The sequence below is a fragment of the Homo sapiens genome, chromosome 9 (assembly GCF_000001405.40).
Source record: "Homo sapiens chromosome 9, GRCh38.p14 Primary Assembly".
Lineage (NCBI taxonomy): Eukaryota > Metazoa > Chordata > Mammalia > Primates > Hominidae > Homo > Homo sapiens.
In genome coordinates this window covers 32,458,211-32,485,169 of record NC_000009.12, presented here as the reverse complement: position 1 = coordinate 32,485,169, position 26,959 = coordinate 32,458,211, and the positions used below count along the sequence as shown (strand labels likewise).

The 26,959-nt window shown below is 40.5% G+C and overlaps 1 protein-coding gene and 2 long non-coding RNA genes across 10 annotated transcripts in view; 1 reads left to right on the top strand and 2 right to left on the bottom strand.

The window, feature by feature from the left end:
- RIGI (RNA sensor RIG-I) overlaps positions 1 to 26,959 on the top strand; it is a 70,895-nt gene that overhangs the window by 41,027 nt on the left and 2,909 nt on the right. For 6 of the 7 annotated variants that reach the window (NM_001385912.1, NM_001385913.1, NM_001385907.1 and 3 more), the window contains 7 exons: positions 3,673 to 3,830; positions 4,816 to 4,951; positions 8,039 to 8,187; positions 12,105 to 12,195; positions 17,238 to 17,408; positions 18,729 to 18,880; positions 25,656 to 25,799. In NM_001385912.1, the coding sequence (NP_001372841.1) occupies positions 3,673 to 3,830; positions 4,816 to 4,951; positions 8,039 to 8,187; positions 12,105 to 12,195; positions 17,238 to 17,408; positions 18,729 to 18,880; positions 25,656 to 25,799 (1,001 nt within the window). The remainder of the gene's footprint in view (positions 1 to 3,672; positions 3,831 to 4,815; positions 4,952 to 8,038; positions 8,188 to 12,104; positions 12,196 to 17,237; positions 17,409 to 18,728; positions 18,881 to 25,655; positions 25,800 to 26,959) is intronic. The other variant, NM_001385909.1, reaches the window with a different exon arrangement.
- On the bottom strand, positions 27 to 16,555 carry LOC124902138 (uncharacterized). Of its 2 annotated transcripts, none has more exons than XR_007061449.1 (2): positions 15,982 to 16,555; positions 27 to 4,998 (listed from the first exon to the last, which is right to left on the bottom strand). It is a non-coding gene; the product is annotated as an uncharacterized LOC124902138 (long non-coding RNA). The 2 variants fall into 2 exon arrangements; XR_007061450.1 differs by lacking the exon at positions 15,982 to 16,555 and adding an exon at positions 6,984 to 7,020.
- LOC101060445 (uncharacterized) lies at positions 19,722 to 26,128 on the bottom strand. The gene has a single exon (NR_197444.1). It is a non-coding gene; the product is annotated as an uncharacterized LOC101060445 (long non-coding RNA).

Below are 26,959 nucleotides of genomic sequence, written 5' to 3'. Positions count from 1 at the left end.
ATAAATCTCATATTTTGTGTTCTCTCTACTGGGGAATAGCCATTTATTGTTCACTATCGTCTTTTTGTGTTCTCCTTAGTTCAGACAATGTCAAGACCATATCCAGAGGTTGTCTTCCTTGATTATAGGTTATTTAGGAGCCTTATATGTCCTCCTCTATTCTTTCTTTCTTCCTTTTTTTCCTTTTAAATCCAAAGTAAGTTCATCCAGACACATGCACCTGAAAAATAACCATACTTAAGTCAGTTCATTGCTTTCTCTACCTTCTAAATCAGCTTTCCCTCCTGACTTTCCTGTTCACCTGAATGAAACCACCATTCCTCTACTGGCTCAGATTTATATCTAGGGACAATCACCCAGCACATTTCCCAGCATTAAAGGAGTGCGACTAGAGATGGGCCAGGGGAAGACAGTGAAGGGCCTGGATTTGAATTTTATCCTAAAAACAATGGGGAAAAAAGTGAAGATTAAAACTGATTAGTGACGTAATAAAGATACCAGTGAATGAGAAGGACCAAAGAGAGGCAGTAGAGATGGATTGGAGAAGGAAGGAGACACATGTGAGATGCTTCCAACTGTGAGTGTTATGATTGAATGGCTAAACGGATTTGGGTGGGGATGAGAAAGGGGCAGGAGGGGCTGATTTCCCCCCAGGCATCTGGCTTAGGCACCTCTATGAATGCCAGTGGGTGGTCCTGGTACCAGGACTAGAAGCAGCCTTGGCAGGTACAAGGTTTTGAGTTTTGAGTTTTAGGGATGTTAAATGTGACGTCTGTAAGACACCTCATGGAGTGTCTCCTCTCACACTTATTTTGCTTTTCTCTCCCCTTTTCTTTCACAGTTTAATTTCTATTATAATTGTTCTAACAGCCTTCTAGCTGATTTTGCCTACCTCTGCTCTCTCTTCCATTCAACCTCTCATGAACTAGTTAGTCTTCATGAATACATTTTATCATGTCCCTGTCCTGCTTAAAAACCCTTTGCCTACAGGATAATCTTCACGCCTCTAACCTGCAGTCTGAGCCCTGCCTGAACACCCAGGTTCTACTTATCTTTCCAATGTTATATTCTACTACTTCCCTACCTGAATCCTTTTGATTTAGCAGTTTCCCGAATGTGTTCATGCATATGTTCATTCATTTAGTGCTAAGGAATGGGCTAGGTGATGGGAATACAGCATGAACCCTAAGATACAGCCCCTGGCCTCAGGGCATTTCTAGTCTGATGGTAAGACCAAAATTAGAGAAGTAATACTAATACTAAAGCAGCTGGTGTGGTGGGGGTGATAAGGTGTGTTTCAGGCACAGGGAATAGCATATGCAAAGGCCAGGAGACTAGAAAGAGTATAGGGACTTCCATTAGTCCTGTAGAATGCTGAAAGGAGAGTGGCCAGAAATGAGAAGCAAAAGCAAGCAGAGGCCAGAGCATGGGGAGGAGTGTGTGAGCTGGGGCAGGATTTTGGCTGCAGGACCACTAAAGGCTTTTAAGCAGTGGGGTGGGATGATTTCTCATCTGCAATTTTGCAAACTCCCTCTAACCACTGGGTAGAGTATGGGTTAGAGGGAACAAGGCAAGAGGAAGGGAGACCAGTTTGGAGATTGTCATATTATCCAGCAGCACACTGATGTGGTTTGAATTGGGGAAGTAGCAGAAGGATGGAGAGACGGTGATGGAGTCACGTGAGTTTCTATTTTCTTACTCCTCCCACCTCCCGTACCCTGCCTCCACCTTTTTGCCAGTCCGAATCCAGTTAGCTGCTCATCTCTAAACTGCTTAGGCTATTTTTACACCTACCCAGGTTCAATCAGTACCTGTTGGCTCATCTTCTTTACTGCTGGCCACCTCGCTGTAGCTGCAACTTGGAAAGAAGCATGTCAATACTACTTGTTTGGGTAGCCTCCTTTGTTCCTATTATTGAAAATGAATGAGTGAGGGGAAGAATTTAACCCAGAAATACAGCTCTTGCTTGTGACTTTTGTTGTACTGTGCTCTTCATGAGGAGCCCTGGCGAACTGATACCAGAGTAACTCACAGACTCAGCTGCTTGAGAACACAGCCATAGTCTCCTCATCTTATCCCCAGCACCCTACACAGAGCCTGGACCACAGCAGATGCCCCAGCTTTGAACCAAGCAACTGAGGCTTATCCTAGGAGATGCACACAGACAGATGCATGTGTGATAAGTGTCTTTTGAGGGCCGATTCTATGCTTGGCCCTGAGAATGCTGCTCTGGAGAACAGGAGGCCCAAGTTCACAGCAAAGCAGAACATAGGGTGAACTGAGTCCTAAATCTCCTCCTTGATTTTTTTTTTTTTTAAGAGTCTCACTCTGTCGCCAGGCTGGAGTACAGTGACGTGATCTCGGTTCACTGCAACCTCCGTCTCCTGGGTTCAAGCGATTCTCCTGCCTCAGTCTCCTAAGTAGCTGGGACTTCAGGTGCGTGCCACCACCCCCAGCTAATTTTTGTATTTTTAGTAGAAACGGGGTTTCACCCTGTTGGCCAGGGTGATCTCAATCTCTTGACCTCGTGATCCACCCGCCTGGGGCTCCCAAAGTGCTGGGATTACAGGCATGAGCCACTGCGGCCGGCCAATCTCCTGCTTTTATATATCCTCCTCTGATGAAGCTCTTGAGACCTGTTATTTTTACTTCTTCATTTTTAAAGGCAAAGTTGGGTTTTTCATGTCTACTGTTTTATTTCTGGGCTGCTTTGGTTGTCAGCTCATAGAGCCAGTAGAGCTTGGGCATCTGACACATGTGGGTTTGAATTCCTGCCCTTTCTCCACGTACTTGCTGTGTGACTATGGGTAAATTACTTATTACTTGGCTTTTCTGAACTTCAGTTTCCCAATATATGAAATGTAATATGTATCTCATGGGTTGTGAAAATTAAATGAAATTATGAATGTAAGGTACTTTGATTCTTGGTACACAGTACTCAAGAAACAATCAAACACACACACACACACACACACACACACAAACAAACACACAGATGCACTGCTTAAAACTCAAGGGAGGGAACAAGGCAAGAGGTAGGGAGAACAGTTTGGAGGTTGTCATATTATCCAGCAGCACAGTGGTGTTATCTCAATGGGGGAAGGAGCAGAAGGATGGAGAGATGGTGATGGAGTCACATGAGTTTCTATTTTCTTACTCCTCCCACCTCAGGTACCCTGCTTCCACCTTTTCACCAGTCTGAATCCAGTTAAATAGTTTTAACTAGATGACTTAAGACTATTTCAGGAGGAATATCCTGTTTGCAGAGAGTAAGAAAGAAAATTAGGCCAGGTGCAGTGGCTCACGCCTGTAATCCCAGCACTTTGGGAGACCGAGGCAGGCGGATCACCTGAGGTCAGGAGTTTGAAACCAGCTTGACAACATGGTGAAACCCTGTCTCTACTAAAAATACAAAAATTAGCCAGGCGTGATGGCACACGCCTGTAGTCTCAGCTACTTAGCAGGCTGAGGCAGGAGAATCGCTTGAATCCGGGAGGTGGAGGTTGCGGTGAGCCAAGATCGTGCCATTGTACTACAGCCTGGGCATCAGAGCGAGACTCTGCCTCGAGGAAAAAAAAAAAGAAAAAGAAAATTAGAGGGTGAGGCCTGTTTATAACCCTAAATGACTGACCATATGAGACAGTGAAAAACTTTTTTTTTTTTTTTTAACAGAAAACTTATCTCAAATTCAAAATAGGGAATTTGGAACACAGAAATATGAACAATGGATTGTTACAGTTCAGAAAGCATGCATGGTGTTCCAGATGCCAGACAAAGATGAAGAGAGCAGGATTTGTAAAGCCCTGTTTTTATACACTTCACATTTGCGGGTACGTTCCTCTTTTTAAGAGTCGTATTCTGGTCACAGCACCTACTGGGAGTGGCACCGTGGAAGCCAAGATAACATCAACTTCTCATCCTGTCCTCAAGAGCTCACTTAGGAACCTTTCCAGAAAGTTCTTATGAAGCAAACTCCAAAAGTTGTCCCATTCAACATCATCTCGATTTCCTTTCTGAAATTTCATACTGCAGGCAACAGGACTGAAATAAAGGCTCAGATTCTATGCCATGCCTCTAGCATTAACTGACATGGTTGGAAAAAATTGGGTGATTGTGAGAGAACATTATTCCAGATACAAGACCAGTCCAGTGACAGCATCTTGAAAGCTCAGCAAGTGGAAAGTTCTGTTGCTATGTCCTGAAGCACACATTTCTTCACCTTTGGTGACGCCCCATGCTCAGAAATCCAGGTTCTCTGGCTCACCAAGAAGTTAAGGAACTATAGTGACAGCTATCACCTCTGCTTATCCAGCCATTGAAAATATATTAAAATGCATTCAATTAGCATGCATTTGTAGAATTTTAGTTAGCTTAGTTGTACATTTGATGGATGTGGTCAGGGCCATCATTTTGGAAGGTACACTGACAATTTAGTGATGGCTTCAGATGTATATAGAAATCAAGTGAAATGTTGGAATTATGAGGCAGGTTGATGTGGAAGTTGATTTACTTTCCTTATTTTTAAATTTTGATATGTGTTTTTCGTGCAGTTTTTCTTTTCTAAGGTAAAATTCAATAATCCAAAGTGATGATAATTAATGTTACTAGCTAATTGAGTTTTCTTTTAACAGTATTTGGTTCAAAGATTTTGTTACATAACTGTTAGAGGCCATTCATCTTTAAAAAGCTAAGTTGGAATAGATTTGAAAAGAAAAGTTTTCTTAAAACAATTCGTTAAATACAACGAATTGAACTTAAATACAGTGAATGTGTTAGACATTGGAAGCATATTGAGACAGTTTTTACTTTCAACAGAAATATAATGATGCCCTCATTATCAGTGAGCATGCACGAATGAAAGATGCTCTGGATTACTTGAAAGACTTCTTCAGCAATGTCCGAGCAGCAGGATTCGATGAGATTGAGCAAGATCTTACTCAGAGATTTGAAGGTGAGTGGTGTTTTCAGAGGAGGAAGCCACAGTAGCATTCTTGGTGACTGGAATGGCAAAACAAACATGTATTGCATTTAATATATATAAACTTGGGGATGCTTAGGGAGTTGTCCTGGATGTAGGAAGATGGAGATGGTAGGACTATTTAGCTTCAATGAAATCTAGTACCTATGGGAAGAGTCTGTTGCTTATACCATTCCCTATTTAGAAGAAGGAAAAACAAGATTTGCAAAGGGTGTTTCCCATATGGTTCACAGACAGTAGCATTCTTTTTGTTTAACGTTCTTTTTTAGTAATTTTATAAAGCTTTAAAAATATGAAAAAGTGTTTTAACGATATTAAAAAAACCATAATTTATGTATACTTTTTTTTTTTTTTTGAGATGGAGTCTTGCTTTGTCGCCCAGGGTCAAGTGCAGTGGCTCAATCATGGCTCACTGCAACCTCTGCCTCCCGGATTCAGGCAATTCTCATGTCTCAGCCTCCCGAGTAGCCAGGACTGCAGGTGTGCGCCACCACACCCGGCTAATTTTTGTATTTTTAGTAGAGATGGAGTTTTGCCATGTTGGCCAGATTGGTCTCAAACTCCTGACCTCAAGTGATCCACCCGTCTCTGCCTCCCAAAATGCTGGAATTACAGGCATGAGCCACTGTGCCTGGCCTATATATATTTTTACATAAAGAGGAAACCAAAATGGCACATAATCTCACTGCCTGCATATGATTAAAAAATAGATATTAAACAAACAAAAAAAAGTTTTCCTTCTCCCTGTTTTGAATTCTTTCCCAAAGGTAATTAGTGCTAATAATTTTGGGGTTTTTTTGGCCTCTACCTAAGTATTTACTGTACATATGTGTAACCAGTGCTGTGCTGGTTAATATTTAACAACCCACTAGAGAAAAAATGTATGCATATATATGTACATAAGCTTATTATTTTATTGATATAGAGGAGTTATACAAACCACAATTTATAAATAAAAATAAACTATTCTTTATTGTAAATTCCACATAGCCAATTGGTTCTCATAGAATGCTTTTGGTGGTTTTTGCAGATTTTTTGTATCCATGGCCAACCAAGGGTTGCAATGACAAAGAAGTGTGGTTCTTTCTGATATGGTTGTTGGTATATAGTTTCATTAATGTTAGAAGATAAAGATGAAACAACAAAGGTGTATGTTGGAACTTCACTCGTTTGCCAGTGATGCAAGCAATTTTTTGCTGAACTGTATAATAGTTTTTCAAAAACTGGGAGAATGTTTCTCAATATTTTGTGCTATTCAATGTAATAGCTAAATTTAATCTGTATTATTATTTTTTGATCATGTTCATAAGTCTAAACTCTCAACATAAATTAAGCCGGGCATGGTGGCTCACACTTGTCACCATGGCACTTTGGGAGGCTGAGGTGGGTGGATTACTTGAGCTCAGGAGCTGGAGATCAGTCTGGGCAGCATGGCGAAACCCCATCTCTACAAAAAATACAAAAATTAGCTGAGCATAGTGGTATGCTCCTGTGGTCCCAGCTCCTTGGGAGGCTGAGGTGGGAGGATCACCTGAGCCTGGAAGGCAGACGTTGCAGTGAGCCGAGATTGCACCACTGGACCCCAGCTTGGGTGGTAGAGTGAGTCCTTATCTCAATCAATCAGTCAATCAATAAAGCACTGATTTTTTGTGTTTTCTTGATTTCCATGGTATAACTGCTCCCACTGTAGTGAATTCCAGGCTACCAACATGATGTCATTGAACTAGTGTTAAAAAGAGATGAGCAGCAGCACATCATTCTATAGTATTTCTACCATATAGATAACAATAGGTGTAACTAACCTCAAAAGCGTAGATAATTGTAAAAAGTAATAAAATTTAACAATTGGCCAGGCATGGTGGCTCACACCTGTAGTGCCAGCACTTTGGGAGGCTGAGATGGGTGGGCCACCTGAGGTCAGGAGTTCAAGACCAGCCTGGCCAACATGGTGAAACCCCATCTCTACTAAAGATACAAAATATTAGCCAGATATGGTGGCACGCACCTGTAATCCCAGTTACTTGAGAGGCTGAGGCAGAAGAATCGCTTGAACTCAGAAAGCAGAGGTTGCAGTGAGCCAAGAGCGCACCACTGCACTCCAGCCTGAGTGCCAGGAGACTCCATCTCAGGAAAAAAAACAAAAACAAAAACCGATAAAACAGAAACCACAACAGTTGACTCCCATAGTCCCATAGTCCGGTATGATCTGGCTGTAACACACCCCTGTTTTATAACTATATGTATTTTTTTTCTTTTTCCTTTTTTTTGAGACAGAGTATCATTCTCTTTCCCAGGCTGTAGTGCAGTGGTGAGATCTTGGCTCACTGTAACCCCTGCTTCCCAGGTTCAAGTGATTCTCCTGCCTCATCCTCCTGAGGAGCTGGGATTATAGGCGCCCATCACCACGCCTGGCTAATTTTTGTATTTTAAGTAGAGATGGGGTTTCAGCATGTTGACCAGTCTGGTCTTGAACCCCTGACCTCAGGTGATCCACCCATCTCAGCCTCCCAAAGTGCTGGGATTACAGGTGTGAGCCACCACACCCGGCCTGACTATATTTTTAAAGATGGGATAATACTGAACATACTGTCCTTACCTTGATTTTTTTAACCTTAAAATATTTTTGGTATCATATATATCATGTACATAGCTCCCTTATTAATTTTCACAGCCACATTGTATTAACATCAGATGCATAGCCCATGATCTTTTGAACTGTTTCCCTATTGTTGGGTACTTAGGTTTTCTGTTTTTCTTTTACACCCTGAACAGTGGTACAGTGAAATCCTTGGAGACCTCTTCCATAATTTTCTAAATATAACTGTGTCTCAAATTCTTAGATGTAGAATTATTGGATCAAAAGATGTGTGTGTATTATGTTTTGATATATATTGCCAAATTACCTCTTAAAAGGTTGTACCAATTTAAAACAGTACTTACTACTCATAAAATTCTGGTCAAAGATTTAGAGATCAGCTGTTTGAACGATAGCTAAAGGTCACAGTGTGTTCTAAATTTTTAGAATTTATAAGCCATTTATAAAATGTTTCCCATTTGCAGAAAAGCTGCAGGAACTAGAAAGTGTTTCCAGGGATCCCAGCAATGAGAATCCTAAACTTGAAGACCTCTGCTTCATCTTACAAGAAGAGTACCACTTAAACCCAGAGACAATAACAATTCTCTTTGTGAAAACCAGAGCACTTGTGGACGTAAGCTTTTTTTCTCCTTGTAGATAACAAATGGACCCAGCACTATTCATTGAAAAGATTGGGCTGGGTATGGTGTCTCACGCCTGTAATCCCAGAAGTTTGGGAAATCAAGGCAGGAGAATTGCTTGGGGCCAAGAGTTCAAGACCTGCCTGGGCAACATAGTGAGACCTCATCTCTTAAAAAAGAAAAATTAGCTGGTGCTGTGCACCTGTAGTTCCAGTTACTTGGGAGGCTAAGGCTAGAGGATTGATTGAGGCTGCAGTGATCATGACAGCGTACTCTGCACTCCAGCCTGAGCAACAGAGGTAGAACCTGTGTCTAAAAAAAAAAAAAAAGCCGTTTTCTCTCTACGGTCAAGAAACCATATATGTGTATGTGTGAGTCTGTTCTGAGTTTCTCTATTCTGTTCTGATTATATGTTTATCCTTATACTAATACTCTAATGCCTCACTGTGTTGTTTTTTTTTCCCCCACTTAGAGACGGGGTCTCACTCTGTCACCTAGGCTGGAATGCAGTGGTGCAGTCATGGCTCTCTGCACCCTCAACCTCTCAAACTCAAGCGATTCTCCCACCTCATCACCCTCTGCCACCATGCGTGGGACTACAGTCATCTGCCACCATGCCCAGCTAATTTGTTTATTTATTTTTGTAGAGGTGGGGTCTTGTTATGTTGCCTAGACTGGTCTTGAATTCCTGGCCTCACATAATCCTCCCACCTTGCCCTCTCAAAGTTTTGGAACCTGGCTTCATGCTGTCACTATGTTAGTCACTCTAATTGTAAGTATTGATACTTGTAGAGCAAGCATTTCTTCCTTTTTTTACTTTTTAAATTTTAGTCATTTTGTGAGTAGGTAATGATACCTCATTAGAGTTTTAATTTTCATTTCACTAATGAGTAATATGGCTGAACATCTTTCTTCTGCTTGTTAGCGATCTGTAACTGCCTTGGTGAGGTGTCTGTTCAGATCTTTGAAAACCAATCTTTTGAAAAGATTGGTATATCATCTGATTGAGTTTTTGAGAATTCTTTTTATAGTCTGACAAAAAAGTCCTCTGTCAGAAATGTGATTTGCAGATATTTTCTTCTGGTCTGTGGCTTGTCTGCTTATTCTCTTGACAGTATCTTTTGCAGATGGAAAGTTTTAAGTTTTGACAAAGTTCAGTATATCAGTTTTTTCTTTTATGGGTTTTTGCCTGTGGTGGTATTATCTCTAAAAATCCTTTGCTTACCTAAGGTCACAAGGATTTTCACTATGTTATCATCTAGAAGCGTTACAGCTTTACATTTTACATTTAGGTCTACAGTCAATTTTAAATTAATTTTGTATAAGGCGTGAGGTATTGGTTGAGATGCTTTCTTTTTTTTTTCTTTTTGTGTATGGACATTCAGTTGTTCCAGTTCTCTATGTTGACAAGACTATCCTTTCTTCACTGAATTGCCTTTGTAACTTCTGAAAACATCAGTTGACTATATTTGCATGGATCTGTTTCTGGATTCTCTGTTTTGTTTATTGATCCATACATACACCTCTTCACCCATTCCATGCTGTCTTGATCACTGTAGCTTGATAGTAAGTCTTGACATGGGGTGATGTGAGTCCTCCAATTTTTTTTTTAAAGGTTGTTTTTAGCTATGTTCCTTTGCCTTTCTATATACATTTTAGAGGCAGCTGGTCCACATCTATGAAAAAATCTGCTGGGATTTTATTGAATCTGAACACAAAACTGAGGCTGGGCATGGTGGCTCACACCTGTAATCCCAGCACTTTGGGAGGCTGAGGCGGGCGGATCACTTGAAGTCAGGAGTTTGACATCAGCCTGGCCAACATGGTGAAACCCTGTCTCTACTAAAAATACAAAAATTAGCCTAGCGTGGTGGCTTGCACCTGTAATCACAGATACTTGGGAGACTGAGGCAGGAGAATCACTTGAACCTGGGAGGTGAAGGCTGCGGTGAGCTGAGATTGCACCACTGCTCTCCAGCCGAGTGATGGAGTGAGACTTGGTCTTGAAAAAATAAAATATTTTTAAAAATACATAAAGATAAAATTGGGGAGGAATGACATCTTGACAATATTGAGTGTTCTAATCCATGACCATAGTATATCTCTTTATTTATATATGGCTTCCGTATTAGTTATATAATGCTGAGGAACAATTACCCTAAAACTGAGTGTCTGGAAACAACAAACATCTATTATCTTACAATATCTGTGAGCCATGAATCTGGAAACAATTTAACTGGGTGTTTCCGGCTGAAGATCTCTCATGAGGCTGCAGTGAAGGTGCTGGCCATGGCTTGACTGGGGAAGGTTAACTTCCAAACTCCTCTCATATGGCTGTTGGCTGAAGAGCCTCTGAGTTCACTCATGTGGGCCTCTCCACAGGTCCATCTCACAGACCAGCAGATGGCTTCCCCTAGAGAGAGTGATCCCAGAGATTGAGATAGAGGGTGTCTAATTTGGAAGCCACAGTCATAACTTCATCTTGGAAATGATGCCACATTGCATCTGTTGTATTTTATTCATTAGAAGCAAGTCAGTAAGTCCCCTTCACACTCAGGGGAGGGGATTACATGAGGATCTGAATACAGAAGGTGGAGATCATTGAGGGCTACCTTAGAGGTAGACTAACCAGATGTTCTTTGGTTTCTTTTATCAGTGTTTTGTCATTTTCAGCAGATTCTGCACATATTTTGTTAGACTTATACCTAGGTATTAATTTTTTGATGCTATTATAAATGGTACTTTAAAACCTTTTTTTTTTTTTTTTTTTTTTGAGACAGGGTCTCACTCTCATTGCCCAGGTTGGAGTACACTAGTGTGATCACAGCTCACTGCAGCCTCAACTTCCCTAGCTCAGGTGATTCTCCCATCTCAGCCTCCCCAGTAGCTGGGACTGCAGGTGTAAACCACCACACCCAGCTAATTTTTATTTTTATTTATTTAATTTTGAGACGGAGTCTCGGTCTGTCACCCAGGCCGGAGTGCAGTGGCACAACCTCGGCTCACTGCAACCTATGCCTCCCCGGTTCAAGCGATTCTCTTGCCTCAGCTTCCTGAGTAGCTGAGACTACAGGTGTGTGCCACCATGCCCAGCTAATTTTTGTATTTTTAGTAGAGACAGGCTTTTGCCATGTTGCCGAGGTTGGTCTTGAACTCCTGGGCTCAAGTGACTCTCCTGCCTCGGCCTCCCAAAATGCTGGGATTATAAGTGTGAGCCACTGTGTCCAGTACTTAAAAACTTTTGAAATTCCAATAGTTTGTTGCTAGTATGTAGAAATTCAGTTGAATTATGTATATTGATCTCCTGTCCTGTGATCATGCTAAACTCACTTATTCTACATACCCACTATTTTTGAACTTTTGTTTTTTCTTTTAAAAATGTCTTAGAGATGGCCAGGTGCGGTGGCTCATGCCTGTAATCCCAGCACTTTGGGAGGATGAGGTGGGTGGATCACGAGGTCAGGAATTCAAGACCAGCCTGGCCAACATGATGAAATCCTGTCTCTACTAAAAATACAAAAATTAGCCATGCATGGTTGCTGATGCCTGTAATCCCAGCTACTCGGGAGGCTGAGGCAAAGAATTGCTTGAACCTGGGAGGCGGAGGTTGCAGTGAGCGAAGATCGTGCCACTGCACTCCAGCCTAGGCGGTAGACCAAGACTCCATCTCAAAAAAAAAAAAAAAAAAAGTCTTAGAGATTAAACCATATCAGGTTACAGAGATCTATGCCATTTTAGTTAATTATTACATAGAGTTCAATTCCAAAATGCTTTTTTTCTCAGGTTTGTCAGTCTGAAAACTGTACGTGTACTAACTTTAAATTTTTTTCTTTTTGCATGTATTTCAATATTGAATTAATACAAATGATTTATAAGGAGTGTCCAATTGATAATTGCTTTTCATTTTCAGGCTTTAAAAAATTGGATTGAAGGAAATCCTAAACTCAGTTTTCTAAAACCTGGCATATTGACTGGACGTGGCAAAACAAATCAGAACACAGGTATTTATATATAGTGAATTAGATTTAGTGGATTATGCATTTAAGAATATGTGTGTGTGTGTATGTATATGTGTGTGTGTATATATATAATATATATTTCAAATTCTGTTTTAATATATATTTCAAGTTCTGTTTTAATGCTTCTATCAGTCAAGGTTTAACCACAGAAGCAAAAGCAGTAGGTGATTATACATATATATGAGAGGTGTGTGTTGTATATGTGTCCACATATGCATATATACAGAGATTTCTTGCAAGGAATTTTACACAATTGGGCTGGCAAAGCAAGTCTGAAGCGTGTAGGGCAGGTAGTCAGGAAGAGACTATCAGGAACAGACTGGAACCCCCCAGACATGAGCTGTTTGGAGTCTCTGACTTTGGAGAAGGCCTAAGCCGTCTTTTAAAAGGCTCACCTGATTAGGCCAGGCCCACCTGGAGTGAACTCTCTTTTGATCTGACTTAAAGTCAACTGATTAGGGACTTGAATCCCATCGGTAAAATCTCTTCAGAGCAGTACCTAGATGAATTACTGGGAACTGTTGTTTGGCCTAGCCAAGTTAATGCATCAAAAAGCCATCACAATGCTCAAATGCCAAAAACCACTCCAGGCTCTTTCCTTGTAGACATTGCCTCCTCTCATATGTCCTGCAGACAAAGCCAGGGTTGTTTTTTAAGTCATGCTTGCACGCATTATCATCCTGCTCAAATTTTCAACCAATAGATTAAGATTGTCTAGAAATAGAAATGTTCTATTTCTGTTTTATTGTTATTCTTTAAGCAGTAGATATGCATAGCTTTTGTGTATATTATGTATTTTACAATTTTAAAAAGTCCAAGCAGACAATTCTGAAATCCAGCTAGAGTGGTCAAAGGATAAAAGGCTGCCTGTGTTATTATCTGGGAGGATCCTAGGTGGCCCGCCCTCATCCTGACCACCTCACAGCTGTGCCCCCCACCCCTCAGTGACTGGCACTGACAAGTCTTCCTATTTAGTGTTGTTTATAATAAGCACCCTCCCATACCCACCCTGTCAGTCCCTAGTTATCACCCTCGCACTTTCCCTTCATGTCATTTTTAAACTTCATAAATATGAAAAGTAGATTCAGATCTTAAAAAGTGGCTCACCAAATGAAGTCTAACACCATATTTTTGTGGTTGGGATTCAAAGTTCTCTGCGATCTGACTCCAACATGAGTCCTCCTTGATTTTCAAACTTTGTTGTTCCTCCACAAGTAGACACTCAGGAAATATTTTCTTATTGGTTTGTTCATTTATTCATCCGTTCATTCAACAACATTTATTTATAACTTGTGCTGTGCCAGGCATTGTGCTTCTGCCATGTAGCCTTCCCCAACCTCCAAAAACTGGTAGAGAGCTCCTTCTTCCACATTCGCATAGCATCCTTTCTGTGCTCATCATACTCAATTATAGCTTCTTATTTATATTTTTCTTCTACAAAATGTGAGCTCCTTGTGGATAAAAATGGACCTTTTAATCATTATTTTTATCTGACAAGCCATAATTGCTGAATAAATGTTTGACTGAATAGATGAATAAACTAAGAAATTAATCACGTATGATGTCTGTTCCAGAGATGCTCATTGTTTAGTAGATGATGATGGTGAAAAGAAATTGTTTTGGCCTTAGCAAAATATATCTCAAGATTTGGGCTGGAAATATATTAGGAAAAAATTGGAACTTTTATTTATTTTATTTTATTTTTGAGACAGAGTCTTGCTCTGTTTTCCAGGCTAGAGTGCAGTGGCACGAACTCAGCTCACTGCAACCTTCCAGTTTCAAGTGATTCTCATGCCTCAGCCTCCCAAGTAGCTGGGATTACAGGTGCACACCACCATGCCCAGCTAATTTTTGTATTTTTAGTAGGGACAGGATTTTGCCATGTTGGCCAGGCTGGTCTTGAACTCCTGGCCTCAAGTAATCTGCCACCTTGACCTCCCAAAATGCTGGGATTACAGGTGTGAAACACCATGCCTAGCCAATTGGAGCTTCTATAAATTCTGTTAACCCTGAGGTAGAGACCACTGAAGTATTTTCTTCACTCAGTTTATCAGTGTGAACTCTATAGCTTTTATCGAATGGGTTAAACTTGATTTACCAGTAAATTAAGACAATTTTAGCTGAATTTGTTTCTGGTCTGATCCTCTTCCTTGCACAGTTAAGCTAGAAGAATTGTGAACACCTTTTTTTACAAAAAGCTGCATGTAAACAAGCAAAAGTTCAGTTTGCTAAATTTGTATATTTCCACATTTCCATTTCTTAATTTCCTGTTTCATGAAGAAGCAGGTTACCTAACCTCTTCATGACTTACTTTCTTCATCTGTCAAATGGAAAAATAATAATAGTACCTAGCTGAGAGGGTTAATGTCAGTAGCAAAATCTGGCTCACTGCCTGCTTATGAATGACTCTTGAGCTGAGAATGATTTTTGTTTGAAAAAAAATCAAAAGAATATTTTATGACATGTGAAAGGTTTGTGCAATTCAAATTTCATTGTCTATAAAATAACTTTTTGGGGGAACACAGTCATGACCATTCATGTATGTATTGTCTGTGGCTGCTTTCCAACTATAATGGCAGTGTTGGGTAGCTGAGACAGCATGACCCACAGAGCCTAAAGTATTTACTATACATCTAGCCCTTATGGAAAAAGTTTGCCCACTTCTGGTTTAGAACAATGCCTGGCATGTGGTGAGTGCTCAATGTATGTTAAATGTTAGTTACTATTCACATCCAGAACTTTTATGTAATGGTCCACAATGCTCATCATTTGTTTGATTTTGGTTTTACTGAGAATACATGGATTCAAAAATAACAGAAAGTATGTATCTTTAAAAAAAGTATTCTGGATAAAGAAAGCTCAAAAGTAAAATCAAAATAATGTTTAGAGATTGATTTTTAAGCAACTTTCTGAAAATAAAGCTGCCTGCATTTGAATTTTCATGACTTTGAATGGTAAATAATTCAAAAACCACAAGGGATCTTTTTCCACAAACTCTTGAGTCCACTGCCAGCTAGGTAATGGAAAGTAATATGGATTACCTTGCTCTACCTGCCTGAGGTGGGTCCGCCCTGTGAGCAGTGAGTGGAGATCAGGTGATTCTACTAATAGATAAACGTAGATGTCTTTAGGATCCACACGGTTTGAAGTGCGCATATTGTTTGAGCCACCATTTTGGGTGTCCGCCATGATTACACAAACTGGGTGATTATCACATCCAAACTTCACACTGTATTCAGACAATTTAAATTTAGCCTCCACTATCGCAGGATATTAGAAGGCAGTATGTGGTTGTCTTAGTCAAGATCCTTTCTTTTCCCCGATTAACAGAAACCCACTTACGCTAGTCTAAGTAGAAGGGGGTGTGGCTGCTACCGGGATAATTGGGTCTACCATAGAACCCGCAGTTCGGAAGTGCACTCGGGCTTTGTGGACAATTGCAATCCTGAATCCTGCACATCTGCTTCACAGTTTTCCCTTTACAGATTGCTGTCTCTGCTTCTCCATTCATGACTGCCCCACACCTTCCTGATTTACTACCTGTCTCCAATCCCAATTTCAGATTCCAAGAGGGAAGAATTGGATTGGCCCAACATAGTTCAAATGCTTATTTCAGTCCAGTAGCTGCAGCCAGGAACAGGCTGTGTATAAATCAGTGTAATCTAATTGCTCTAACAGACAACCCTCACGATCTCAGGGGCAGGGCAAAATAAAAGTTATAGCTCACACTCACAGATGTGGATAGGTAGGGGTGGGGGCTCTGCTCACTTATGCTCCCAAGTGTAGATAGGTAGGGGTGGGGGCTCTGCTCCATCCTCTTCCACTTATTGTAGGGACCCAGGCTCCTTCCTTGTTATGGCTCTGTCATCACAGGGGGTCTCCAAATCCTCCACTATGACCTTATCTGGTCCATTGATGAGAAATAACAAGAACATGGACAATTTTTAGGGGTCTGGTTTGGAAGAGACACACATGACCTCTGTCTACATGCCATTAGTGACAGTTTAGATTGCGAAATATAATTCAGCTGTGTGTGCCTAGCAGGAGAAAGAAACAAGATTGGTGAGCAGATAGCATTGCCTCTTTCATAGAGAAACATAATACAACTGTATTGTGGGTGGGTGTGGCAGAAAATGATTCTTAGTTTGTGTATGGGGAGGCAGACACCCCAACAGTGCACACTATTAGGGTCTTAAACTGAAGTTCAAGGCCCAACACTGCTGATAGCTAGCTTGTCAGTTTACCTCACTTCTGGAACCTCAAGCCCCTCATTTGTGTCTTTTTTTTTTTTAAGATAGAGTCTCATTCTCTTGCCCAGGCTGGAGTGTAGTAGTGCCATCATGGCTCACTGCAGCCTCAACTTCCCCAGCTCAGGTGATTCTCTTACCTAAGCCTCCTGAGTAGCTGGGGCTACAGGTGTGTGCCACCATGCCCAGCTAATTCTTAAATTTTTTGTAGAGATGGGTTCTCCCTGTGTTAACCAGGCTGATTTCAAACTCCTAGGCTCAAGTGATTCACCTGCCTTGGCCTCCTAAAGTGTTATGACTATAGGCGTGAACCACCATGCCTGGCACGACCCTCGTTTGTTAAGGGGAATCAGAGCACTTACCCTTTGACCTATAGGGCTTTATGATGCTCTGGTGAGTGAGAAGATGTGAAAATGTTTTGTCAGCTATAAATTCTTACACACATGTAAAGGTGTTACAATTAGGTGTTGATATTTCTGCAAAAATGTCTATTTCTTGGATAATATGGCTAAAGCCATACAACTAGTAAGTCCCCCAGAGCTGGGATTTGAACTCAGTCTTGTGGCAGAGTCTGAGTGTTAGATGCCACCCTAAATGTCCTTTCTGAAACAGGCATAGGAATAGATCCCACTGCCTAGGTGTGTTGTGAGATCATGGATATAAAGTACTTATCACAGTACTTGGCATATAATAAGCATTCCATAATTAGTAGCTGTTTTTTCAAGGGGGAAGTTCCCTCTTTGGTGAGTTGTATAATGCCCTCTTACTCTGACACAGGAATGACCCTCCCGGCACAGAAGTGTATATTGGATGCATTCAAAGCCAGTGGAGATCACAATATTCTGATTGCCACCTCAGTTGCTGATGAAGGCATTGACATTGCACAGTGCAATCTTGTCATCCTTTATGAGTATGTGGGCAATGTCATCAAAATGATCCAAACCAGAGGTAAGAGAAGCTTTGAGGCCATTCCTACATGGATTCTGTTTTGACTGATTTATAAGTGTATGTGTCATTCTGGCCTTTCTCTTTACTGAGCCATGGTTGAGTATGTGACCAATGGCACAGTGCACTTTGGTATCATTGGCCCTTAAGGTGGCTACAGTTTTGTTCACTAACATAAACTCTACTTTGATTCTTACAATGATGCTGCTCACTTGCCTGGCATTGACTGATATATTTATGGAAGAATAATTCCAACTTGGATTGAAGCTTTGCCAGTCAACATGTAAACCTTTCATGGTGGTGCTGGTGGGCTGAAGGGCCCCCTGTATTCAAGAAGGGATACTCCAGAGTTGTTCTGCCCCACCTGGACTTGACTAGTCTCCTAACTATTCTTTCCTCCTTTTTCCTTTTCTTCTTAAAATTCCATAAGTACAGCTATCATATTACTTTTCCTGAAAAACAGCTCGATCGTGTCACTTCCTTGTATTGAAACACCAGTGGTTCCCCAATTTACTTGATGCTAAAGAGTTTCCAAAATCCAACACCTATTTCATTCCAACTTTATTTCCCATTCTTCCCTTTTGTGCATTATCCACTTCCGCCAACCTGACTTCCTCACTTATTGCTTGTTGACGGAACTGCTCAGATACTGCTACTCTTCATTTTACCTCTTCCCCTGCCTCCATATCACCTGACCCTAATCCTCCCAGCTGGCAAAAATCTCTCTTTTGAACATATAAAGCCTATAACCTTTTATATCTGTCTTTGTAATAGCACTTAAAATTTTCCACCTATGTTTTGCTGGTTATGAAGAGATCTTATTTCCTCATTGTCTAGAAGGTTCTTGAAGGAGGGCCTGTTTACTGCTCATCTTAGAGCCATCACAGTGTCATACTGGGGGTTCATGTAGGTATCTTTAAAGCAGTGTTTCTGACAGTACGGCTGTCTAATCACCCTGCATTGTTGAGACCCTGAGAAAGCCAGCCTAAGGTGGGCTCCTAGTTTTTCCACATATTTAACATGCAGGTGCACACCTGCATTTGAGTCTTTTTTTTTTTTTTTTTTTTTTTTTTTGAGATAGGTCTTGCTCTGTCACCCAGGCTAGAGTGCAGTGGTGTAATCCTAGCTCACTGCAGCTTCAAACTCCTGGGTTCAAGCAATCCTGCCTCATGAGTTCACTCTTTAACAGCTCAACTTTCCTGGGAAGTGGGATTCAGTGAACCAAAGTTGAATTTTAGGAGTACCTCTATTTGTTTACCTATTTGCAGATTATATCAGAGCTTTAAGTCAAAAACACCAACTAAAATATTTATTTTCTAATAGGCAGAGGAAGAGCAAGAGGTAGCAAGTGCTTCCTTCTGACTAGTAATGCTGGTGTAATTGAAAAAGAACAAATAAACATGTACAAAGAAAAAATGATGAATGACTCTATTTTACGCCTTCAGACATGGGACGAAGCAGTATTTAGGGAAAAGGTAAGTCTACGTTATTCTTCCAGCATCTGACCATAAATAACTATCAGGGAATGTGAGGAGGATGGTTGGTATCTTTTATCATATTGCTTAGAGTGTTATATTACAACAAAAAGTTTATACTTAGTGAATATTAAATTCATTCTGTTTTTAAATGTCAATGAGGTTAAATTATATTTAATAGTGCTAATAACTGAAGTTATGTTTTCAGATCTAAAAGGCAAATTGAGCTAGGATTTCTCTAGTTGACAGTTCATCTCGAGGACTATATCCTAATACTGGAAAAAACAGCTGTTCTTAGTCTCTTCCTTAAATCTCTCTCCAAAGAGTCCTCAGAGAAAAGCTCCTAGGTCACTGTGCAGGTATTGGAATGTCTTTTTATAGCTGTGGACAATGATATACACCTTGGAATGGGATGCCTATTCAGATCAACCTCTTAGTGTAATGACCTTCATTTCATTGTAATTTCCGTAACACAGAAACATGAAATCAGATTGGAGAAAGTCAAGAAACACATACCCATACTTTCTCCAGACCCATTGCAGAGATTTTCATCTCAGAATCTCTGGAAGCATGATCACTGCAGGGCTAGGGGAGAGCTTTAACACTAGAATCCATGGTTCAAATCCCAGTTCTATCAGTTGCAAGATGTGTGACCTCAGGCAGTTGCTCTGTCTTTTAAATAATCAATCTCCTCATGTAAAAAGTGGGGAAAATAATAGTATTTAACTCCCAGGGTGGTCATGAGGATAAATGAGATGTATGCATTGCATCTCTTAGCGCCTGGCATAAAATACGTGCCCAAGAAATGAGAGCTGTTACTGGACAGAAGTGTGAGACATAGTTTAACTTCATGAAGATGAACCTTACAGTTTAATAGACCAACTCCATAGTGTCTATAATTTTAAAAAGTCATAATCTCTGTGCTCCAAAAAGTATTGACCATCAATTATCTAAAGCAGATTAACACTTATTTTAGGACACAAATCAAAACTTTGTCAATGTTTACTAGTCTAAAAACATTTTTCTTCCTAAAGCTGGGAGATTAAGTTATCTAGAACCACCTCTTCCACATTTTCAGTGAGAAGAATTGCAGGGAAATTATTTAGTTCCTCCCTTAGTTTTACTGGGGATGGGATTCTCTATTCTCTCTTCACTGAGCCACCTTTCCATTTTGTAAAATATATTGCCAATACACGTTTTAAAACCACGAGTTTTAATAGCCATGGCATAATTTTTATCTCTTCTCCTAGGTGACAAGCTACTTAGACTCATGTGACAGAAGCAACAGAGTAAAAGTCTGTTGAGGAAGAGAGAGGCTAGACCAGATGTAGGCATTCTTTTGTAGCCAGCACACCAGGATAAGGAGTGGGGTGAGGAGGAAATGGGTTAAGTATCTGTTGAATCAGGCTATGTAATAGCATTTGGGGTTCCCGTAACACTTACAGATAGATAGGCAGAGATGGTAGGGAACAAGAAGCCCTATAACCAGTGTAGCTGGGAGTTACTGGCAGCTGGGAAGCCTGAGTTGTGTTGGTATCCCTGTCCTATCATACATGACCAGGCCCAGCTGCCCTGCTCAAAGGGGAAGGATTTGCTTTCAAAGGCTTAGTAAAGGCCGGGCGCGGTGGCTCATGCCTGTAATCCCAGCACTTTGGGAGGCCGAGGCGGGTGGATCACGAGGTCAGGAGATTGAGACCACGGTGAAACCCCGTCTCTACTAAAAATACAAAAAATTAGCCAGGCGCGGTGACGGGCACCTGTAGTCCCAGCTACTCGGGAGGCTGAGGCAGGAGAATGGCGTGAACCCGGGAGGCAGAGCTTGCAGTGAGCCGAGATCGCGCCACTGCACTCCAGCCTGGGCAACAGAGTAAGACTCCGTCTCAAAAAAACAAACAAAAAAAGGCTTAGTAAAAGTATAACGAGGTAGGGAAAATCTTATATTCTTAAGACTAAAGGGAATTATGGTTCTAGGGGTGAGCCCCCCTTTTGTGGGTGCTTTGATAAGGGTTTGGGGTTTGGGTTTGAGCATCCTGGTCCCTGTATATGGGTTTTAACGGAAGGAAGGAACTCTGCAGAACAGAGGGCAAAAGCTTGGAGCTCTTTAGGGCAATCTGCAAGAACAGGAAAGGGAGAGGGATGAGCAGAGTACTGGCAGACTGCTTTCTTCCCCAGCGCCCCAGCTGTACTGTCCATTGTCTGTGTGTGGCCTGCTGTCACTAGAGCACTCCCCATCCCCCGCCCCAGAATTCTCTGGTCACTCTGCAGCCATCTTAACATGTAGACAGCCCAGAGGTATCCAAGAACTGATTTCCATGGTGGACGCTTCAGGATTTGGTGGTGTTTCATTCTGGAGGAATAAGGGATGAACGGTATGACAGTTGTGGTTGTGAAGGTTTATTTGAAATCAGAATGAGGAGGAAGCTGTTTTTCTTTCCTCATGGAGCAGAGAATAAAGATGGGGTGAAAGAAAGTTCATTCTGAACAAAGAACTTCCAACATGCATACCCATGACTACACATAATTAAGATAGTTTGCTTTTCTCCACCTCAGTGTGTGGAGCTAGGCTGCTTCTTTAGCCACAGGTTGCATGGGTGAAGGTCAGTATGCCATAGACTTAACTTATGATTGGTTGAGCCTCTTTACCCAGTTATTGATTTTTACTTAGTTTTAAGTATAGCTGTAATAGTTTTAACTTATTAGGATTTATACCTATTGCCTAGAGTAACACTTAAAATATTTGAGATTATTAGTATTTAATTGAATTTCAGTATATAATTGAATACCATTATAAGTGAATTTTTTTAAAAAGTTGGATGCCTGAAAGGCAAGGTTATATTTTCACCTTCTTTCCTGGTAACCTCTATTCTGCTTAAGTAGTGATTAGAACCATATCTGAAAAAGAAATTAAAAAAGAAAATTAAAATTGCTCATAGGAAAATGTGTATCATATAACCCAGGGATTTCAATTCTAGAAATTTGTCCAAAGGAAAGAATGGGATAAATACATATAATGTAACAGTTTTACAACTGAAAAATTGGATTAAAAACAGGAGGCCTGGACACCCTTTATTTTTACAAAAATAATGAAGATAATTTCAGGTGGGATGGGGCCAAGAAGTGGGGAAGGGGAAATTATATTTGGTTTTTAATTTTTTAATTATTTCTTATTTATTTTTTTGAGACAGAGCCCAGGCTGGAGTGCAGTGGTGTGATATTGGCTCACTGCAATCTCAGCCTCCCAAGCAGCTAGGACTACAGGTGTGTGCCACCACGCATCACTAATTTTTGTAGTTTTAGTAGAGATGGGGCTTTGCTATGTCGCCCAGGCTGGTCTTGAACTCTGGACTCAAGTGATATGCCAGCCTCGGCATATCCCAAAGTGCTGGGATTACAGGCGTGAGCTACTGTGCCCAGCCAGTATATTTGTTTTTTTAAATCAAAACATTCTAGGTCTAGCTGGGCATGATGGCTCACGCCTATTGCGCCAGCTACATGGGAGGATCATTTAAGCCCAAGAGTTCAAGTCCAGCCAGGGCAACATAGTAGGAATCTATCTCAAAAAGGGGGAGTGGGGGAAAGGAAGCCGGGTGTGGTGGCTTACACCTGTAATGCCAGCACTTTGGGAGGCTGAGGTGGGTGGATAACCTGAGGTCAGGAGTTCAAGACCAGCCTGGCTGACATGGTGAAGCCCCATCTCTACTAAAAATACAAAAATTAGCTGGATGTGGTGGCACCTGCCTGTAATCCCAGCTACTTGGGAGGCTGAGGCAGGAGAATCATTTGAACCCAGGAGCTGGAAGTTGCAGTGAGCTGAGATTGTGCCACTGCATTCCAGCCTGGGTGACAAAATGAGACTCTGTCTCAAAAAAAAAAAAAAAAAAAAAAGCTAGATCTAATTTTTTTTTTATATAAAGCAAATTTGAATTTGAAGTGGTATGGTAATCAATATATTATCTATGTATGATCCGTAACCAATTAAAAGATATAAGGGGGAGGGAGATTTCCATTCGCAGTGACAATAAGTGTAGCTCATGCATGTAGAACACTGACTCTCCAACAGTCCCTGCAAATGCTTTACTTACATCAATAGGCTTTACAGCAATCCATACAGTAGTGCCTCCTATGTCATTTTATAGGCAGGAAACTGAGACTTGAATAGCTTCAGTGCCAGTAGATCACACAGCTAGTTCATGGTAGAGTTGGTAGAACCCATCTGTTTCACCATTACATCTACCAGCCTAATCAGAAAAGTTTGAAGCAGAAATGAGGACAAATAAAAAAATTTTACTGGGAGATATTAAGATAAAAGAAATGCCATGCTCTTGAATGGAATGACTGAATATTTTAAACACGTGCATTCACCCCAAATTTGCTTATTCACGTGTCACAAACCATATTGAAAGCATAAATGATACTTTTAACTTGATAAAATGGTTCTAGAGTTTATATAAAATAATAAATAGATGAAAATAGCTATATTTCTAGAAAAATAAAAATGGGGGTAGCTAGTAGTTTCGTATTGATAAGGCAATCCCTAATGAATGGAGATTGCCTTATCAATACAAAACTACAAGCCACCCCATTAACATTTTCATGGCTCTTAGCATAAGACTAGCCTAACAGAGAAGAGGCAACGGTGATGGGCATTTACCCTGTGCTGGGCAGGCCTGAGCAGTCATAAACTCATGTTATCTCCTGACAGTCCGTGAAGCAGATGCTATTGTCCCATTTTGTATGTAAAGAAACGAGGCACTTGCCCCAAATCACATAGCTGCTAAGTGACAGGGACACTATTTGCACCTAGGCTGTCTGGATCCACCTGGGACACGTGAAAGCATAATCTGATATGGAGAGGCGCCACCATAAACCATAAACCAGTGGGACGGACAGAATCTTCCATAGAAGACATGGAGGAAATCAGTGTGTTCTTTCTTCCTTCATGAGGCTTCAGGGTTCCTTTTATCATTTCCTCTGTTTAGAAAACTTCTTTTAGCCATTCTTTTAGGGTAAATCTGCTGATGACAGATTCTCAGTGTTCCTTCATCTAAGAATGTCTTCATTTCTCCTTTATTTTTGAAGGTGGCATTTTGCTGAGTCTAGGGTTCTGGGGTGGACTGTTCTTTTCTTTCAGCGTTTAAAAAATATTGTGCCACTTCCAGGTAGCCTCCATCGTTTCTAATGACAAATCTCCTGTTATTCAGACTGATTTCCCCCTATGGGTAAGGTGTCATTTTTTTTTTTTTTTCTGGCTGCTTTCAAGATTTTTTTCTTCAGTTTTCATAAATTTAATTATAACCTGTCTTAGAGTGTTTTTTGAAGGGGTTTATCCTGTTTGGAGCTTGTTCAGCTTCTTGAATCCTGGTTGATGTAGCTTGTTAAATTTGGGATATATTTGGAGGTCATTTCTGTGAATACTTTTTAAGCCCTGCTCTTTCTTCACTCCTTGCAGAACTCCAGTGCCATGACATCATTTTTTATAGTCCTACGGGTCCTTGAGACTTTGCGCTTTTTTTTTCCCCAGTGTATTTTTTTGTTGTTCAGATTGGGTAATTTCTGTTGTTCTTTCAGTTCACTGACTCTTTTCTTTGTCCCTTCCATTCTGCTATGGAAAGCCCATCCATTGAACTTTTTATTTTGGTTGTATCTTTCAGTTCTAAACTTTATGTCTTCCATTTCATTGTTGAGCCTTTATGTTTTCTCTTTATGTTTCAAAAGTATTTATAATTGCCCATCGAAGCATCTTTATTAGGTGCTTTAAAATCTTTCTCTTCTCAGTGTTGGCATCTATGATTGTCTTTTTTTTTCATTCAGTTTGAGATCTTTCTGTTTATTGGTATGAAGAGTTTTATAATATCATGTCCATGGTTCTAAGTTGGACCATGTTCTTAGCCAAGGCCTAGATTTTGAATTAGAATACAATCATACTATACATATGCAACAATATTCCCTGTGGCTGAAGGGGAGAGAGAAAAAAGGTTTTAGATGTTGGGGGCTGTATTAGTCTGTTTTCATGCCACTGACAAAGACATAACCGAGATTGGGAAAACAAAGAGGTTTAATTGGACTTACAGTTCCACATGGCTGGGGAGGCCTCAGAATCACGGAGGGAGGCAGAAGGCACTTCTTACATGGCAGCGGCAAGAGAAAAATGAGGAAGAAGCAAAAGTGGAAACGCTGATAAACCCATCAGGTCTTGTGAGACACAATCACTATCATAAGAATAGCACAGGAAAGACTGGCCCCCCATGATTCAATTACCTCCCCCTGGGTCCCTCCCATAACACGTGGGAATTCTGTTAAGATACAATTCAAGTTGAGATTTGGGTGAGGACACAGCCAAACCATATCAGGGGCTCTTCTGCCTGTTGTATCACTCACTGAGTTTGTGCCTGCAAATGGATATAATTATGCCTGAAACAGCGCATATTGTATATCTGGTACAGGTTTTGTTTTTTTTCCCAAGTTTTGCCAAACACTAAAGTAGAAAGCATAGTTCATATGACTATTCTATGGACATCTTTAGTGCTTTTATGAGCATTTTTGATGAAGAAATTGAAAGACTAATTGGAGGCCACAATTAAGCATTGACTAATACTAAGTTAGGAGAACCAATAAAATCTGTGATTTTACAAAGTCAGGTACCATATGTTCATGGAAGTTGTATATGAATGATTATACATGTGCGTGCATGTATATGTATTGTACGTATCTGTGCCTGTTTCTTGCTATATATGTTGTACTCAAATTACATTTGCGGTCTTTCTTTTTGCATTAGATTCTGCATATACAGACTCATGAAAAATTCATCAGAGATAGTCAAGAAAAACCAAAACCTGTACCTGATAAGGAAAATAAAAAACTGCTCTGCAGAAAGTGCAAAGCCTTGGCATGTTACACAGCTGACGTAAGAGTGATAGAGGTAAGCTGCCTTTTTACAAAGTGCCTGGTCATGTTTTAGCACTAGCTACAGCTTACTGTTGGTGAAATATTTATAATAAAACTACTATTATTTCCATTGTTACTGTGGCCATGATCTGTGTATTTAAAAAAAGCTAAGAAGTGAAAAAAAAATACTAAATGTTCAATAATAAAGAAATAGTTTTTGGCCAGGCATAGTGGCTCATGCCTGTAATCAAAACACTTTGGGAGGCCAAGGTGGGCGATCACGAGGTCAGGAGTTCGAGACCAGCCCGGCCAACATGGTGAAACCCCGTCTCTACTAAAAATAAAAAAGTTAGCTGGGCGTAGTGGCAGGTGGCTGTAATCTTAGTTACTCGGGAGGCTGAGGCAGGAGAATCGCTTGAACCGGGAGGCAGAGGTTGCGGTGAGCTGATATCGCGCCACTGCGCTCCAGCCTGGGTGACAGAGCAAGACTCTGTCTCAAAAAAAAAAAAAAAAAAGTCATGCTAAATGCAATGACGTGTCCTGGATTAGCTCCTGGAACAGATAAAGGATACAACTAGAGAAAGAGTGGTAAAATCTGTAGTTTAGATAATAGTAATGTACTGATGTTAATTATCTTGGTTTTGACAAATGTGCTGTGGTATATGAGATGTTAACATTTGGGGAAACTGGGTAAAGGGTATGCAGAAATTTTCTGGGATATCTTTGCAATTTTTCTTTAAATCTAAAATTGTTCCAAAGTAAAGTTTATTTTAAAAAATTATGAAGTTTATGTAGTATAATGAAAAACTGCTTACAAACTAATGGTAATAAGGAAAAAAGTAACCAGAACACAGAATTGTAAAGATGCTACTTTGTAGCTGTGTGAAACAACAGCAGCAAATACATTCATTGTCATTGTCAAGAGAAAAAGTCAAAAAACCTACCTTGCTACAGAAAAACAAAGGCTAGGGGAACTATACCAAAATGTATTAATATTTTGGTGGTGAGATTCCATGACTTTTTTTCTCTTTTCCTACTACCTTATGTTTTCCAAACATTCCTTTTGGGCTATGGATCACTTTTATAATGAAAACAAAATATCTCCTTATTTGTAAAATGTGACATCTGCAGATTAGCCTTCTATTGCAGCCTTATATTTCTTTCTTAAAACTTTCAGAGAAAGGGTTAGAAAAA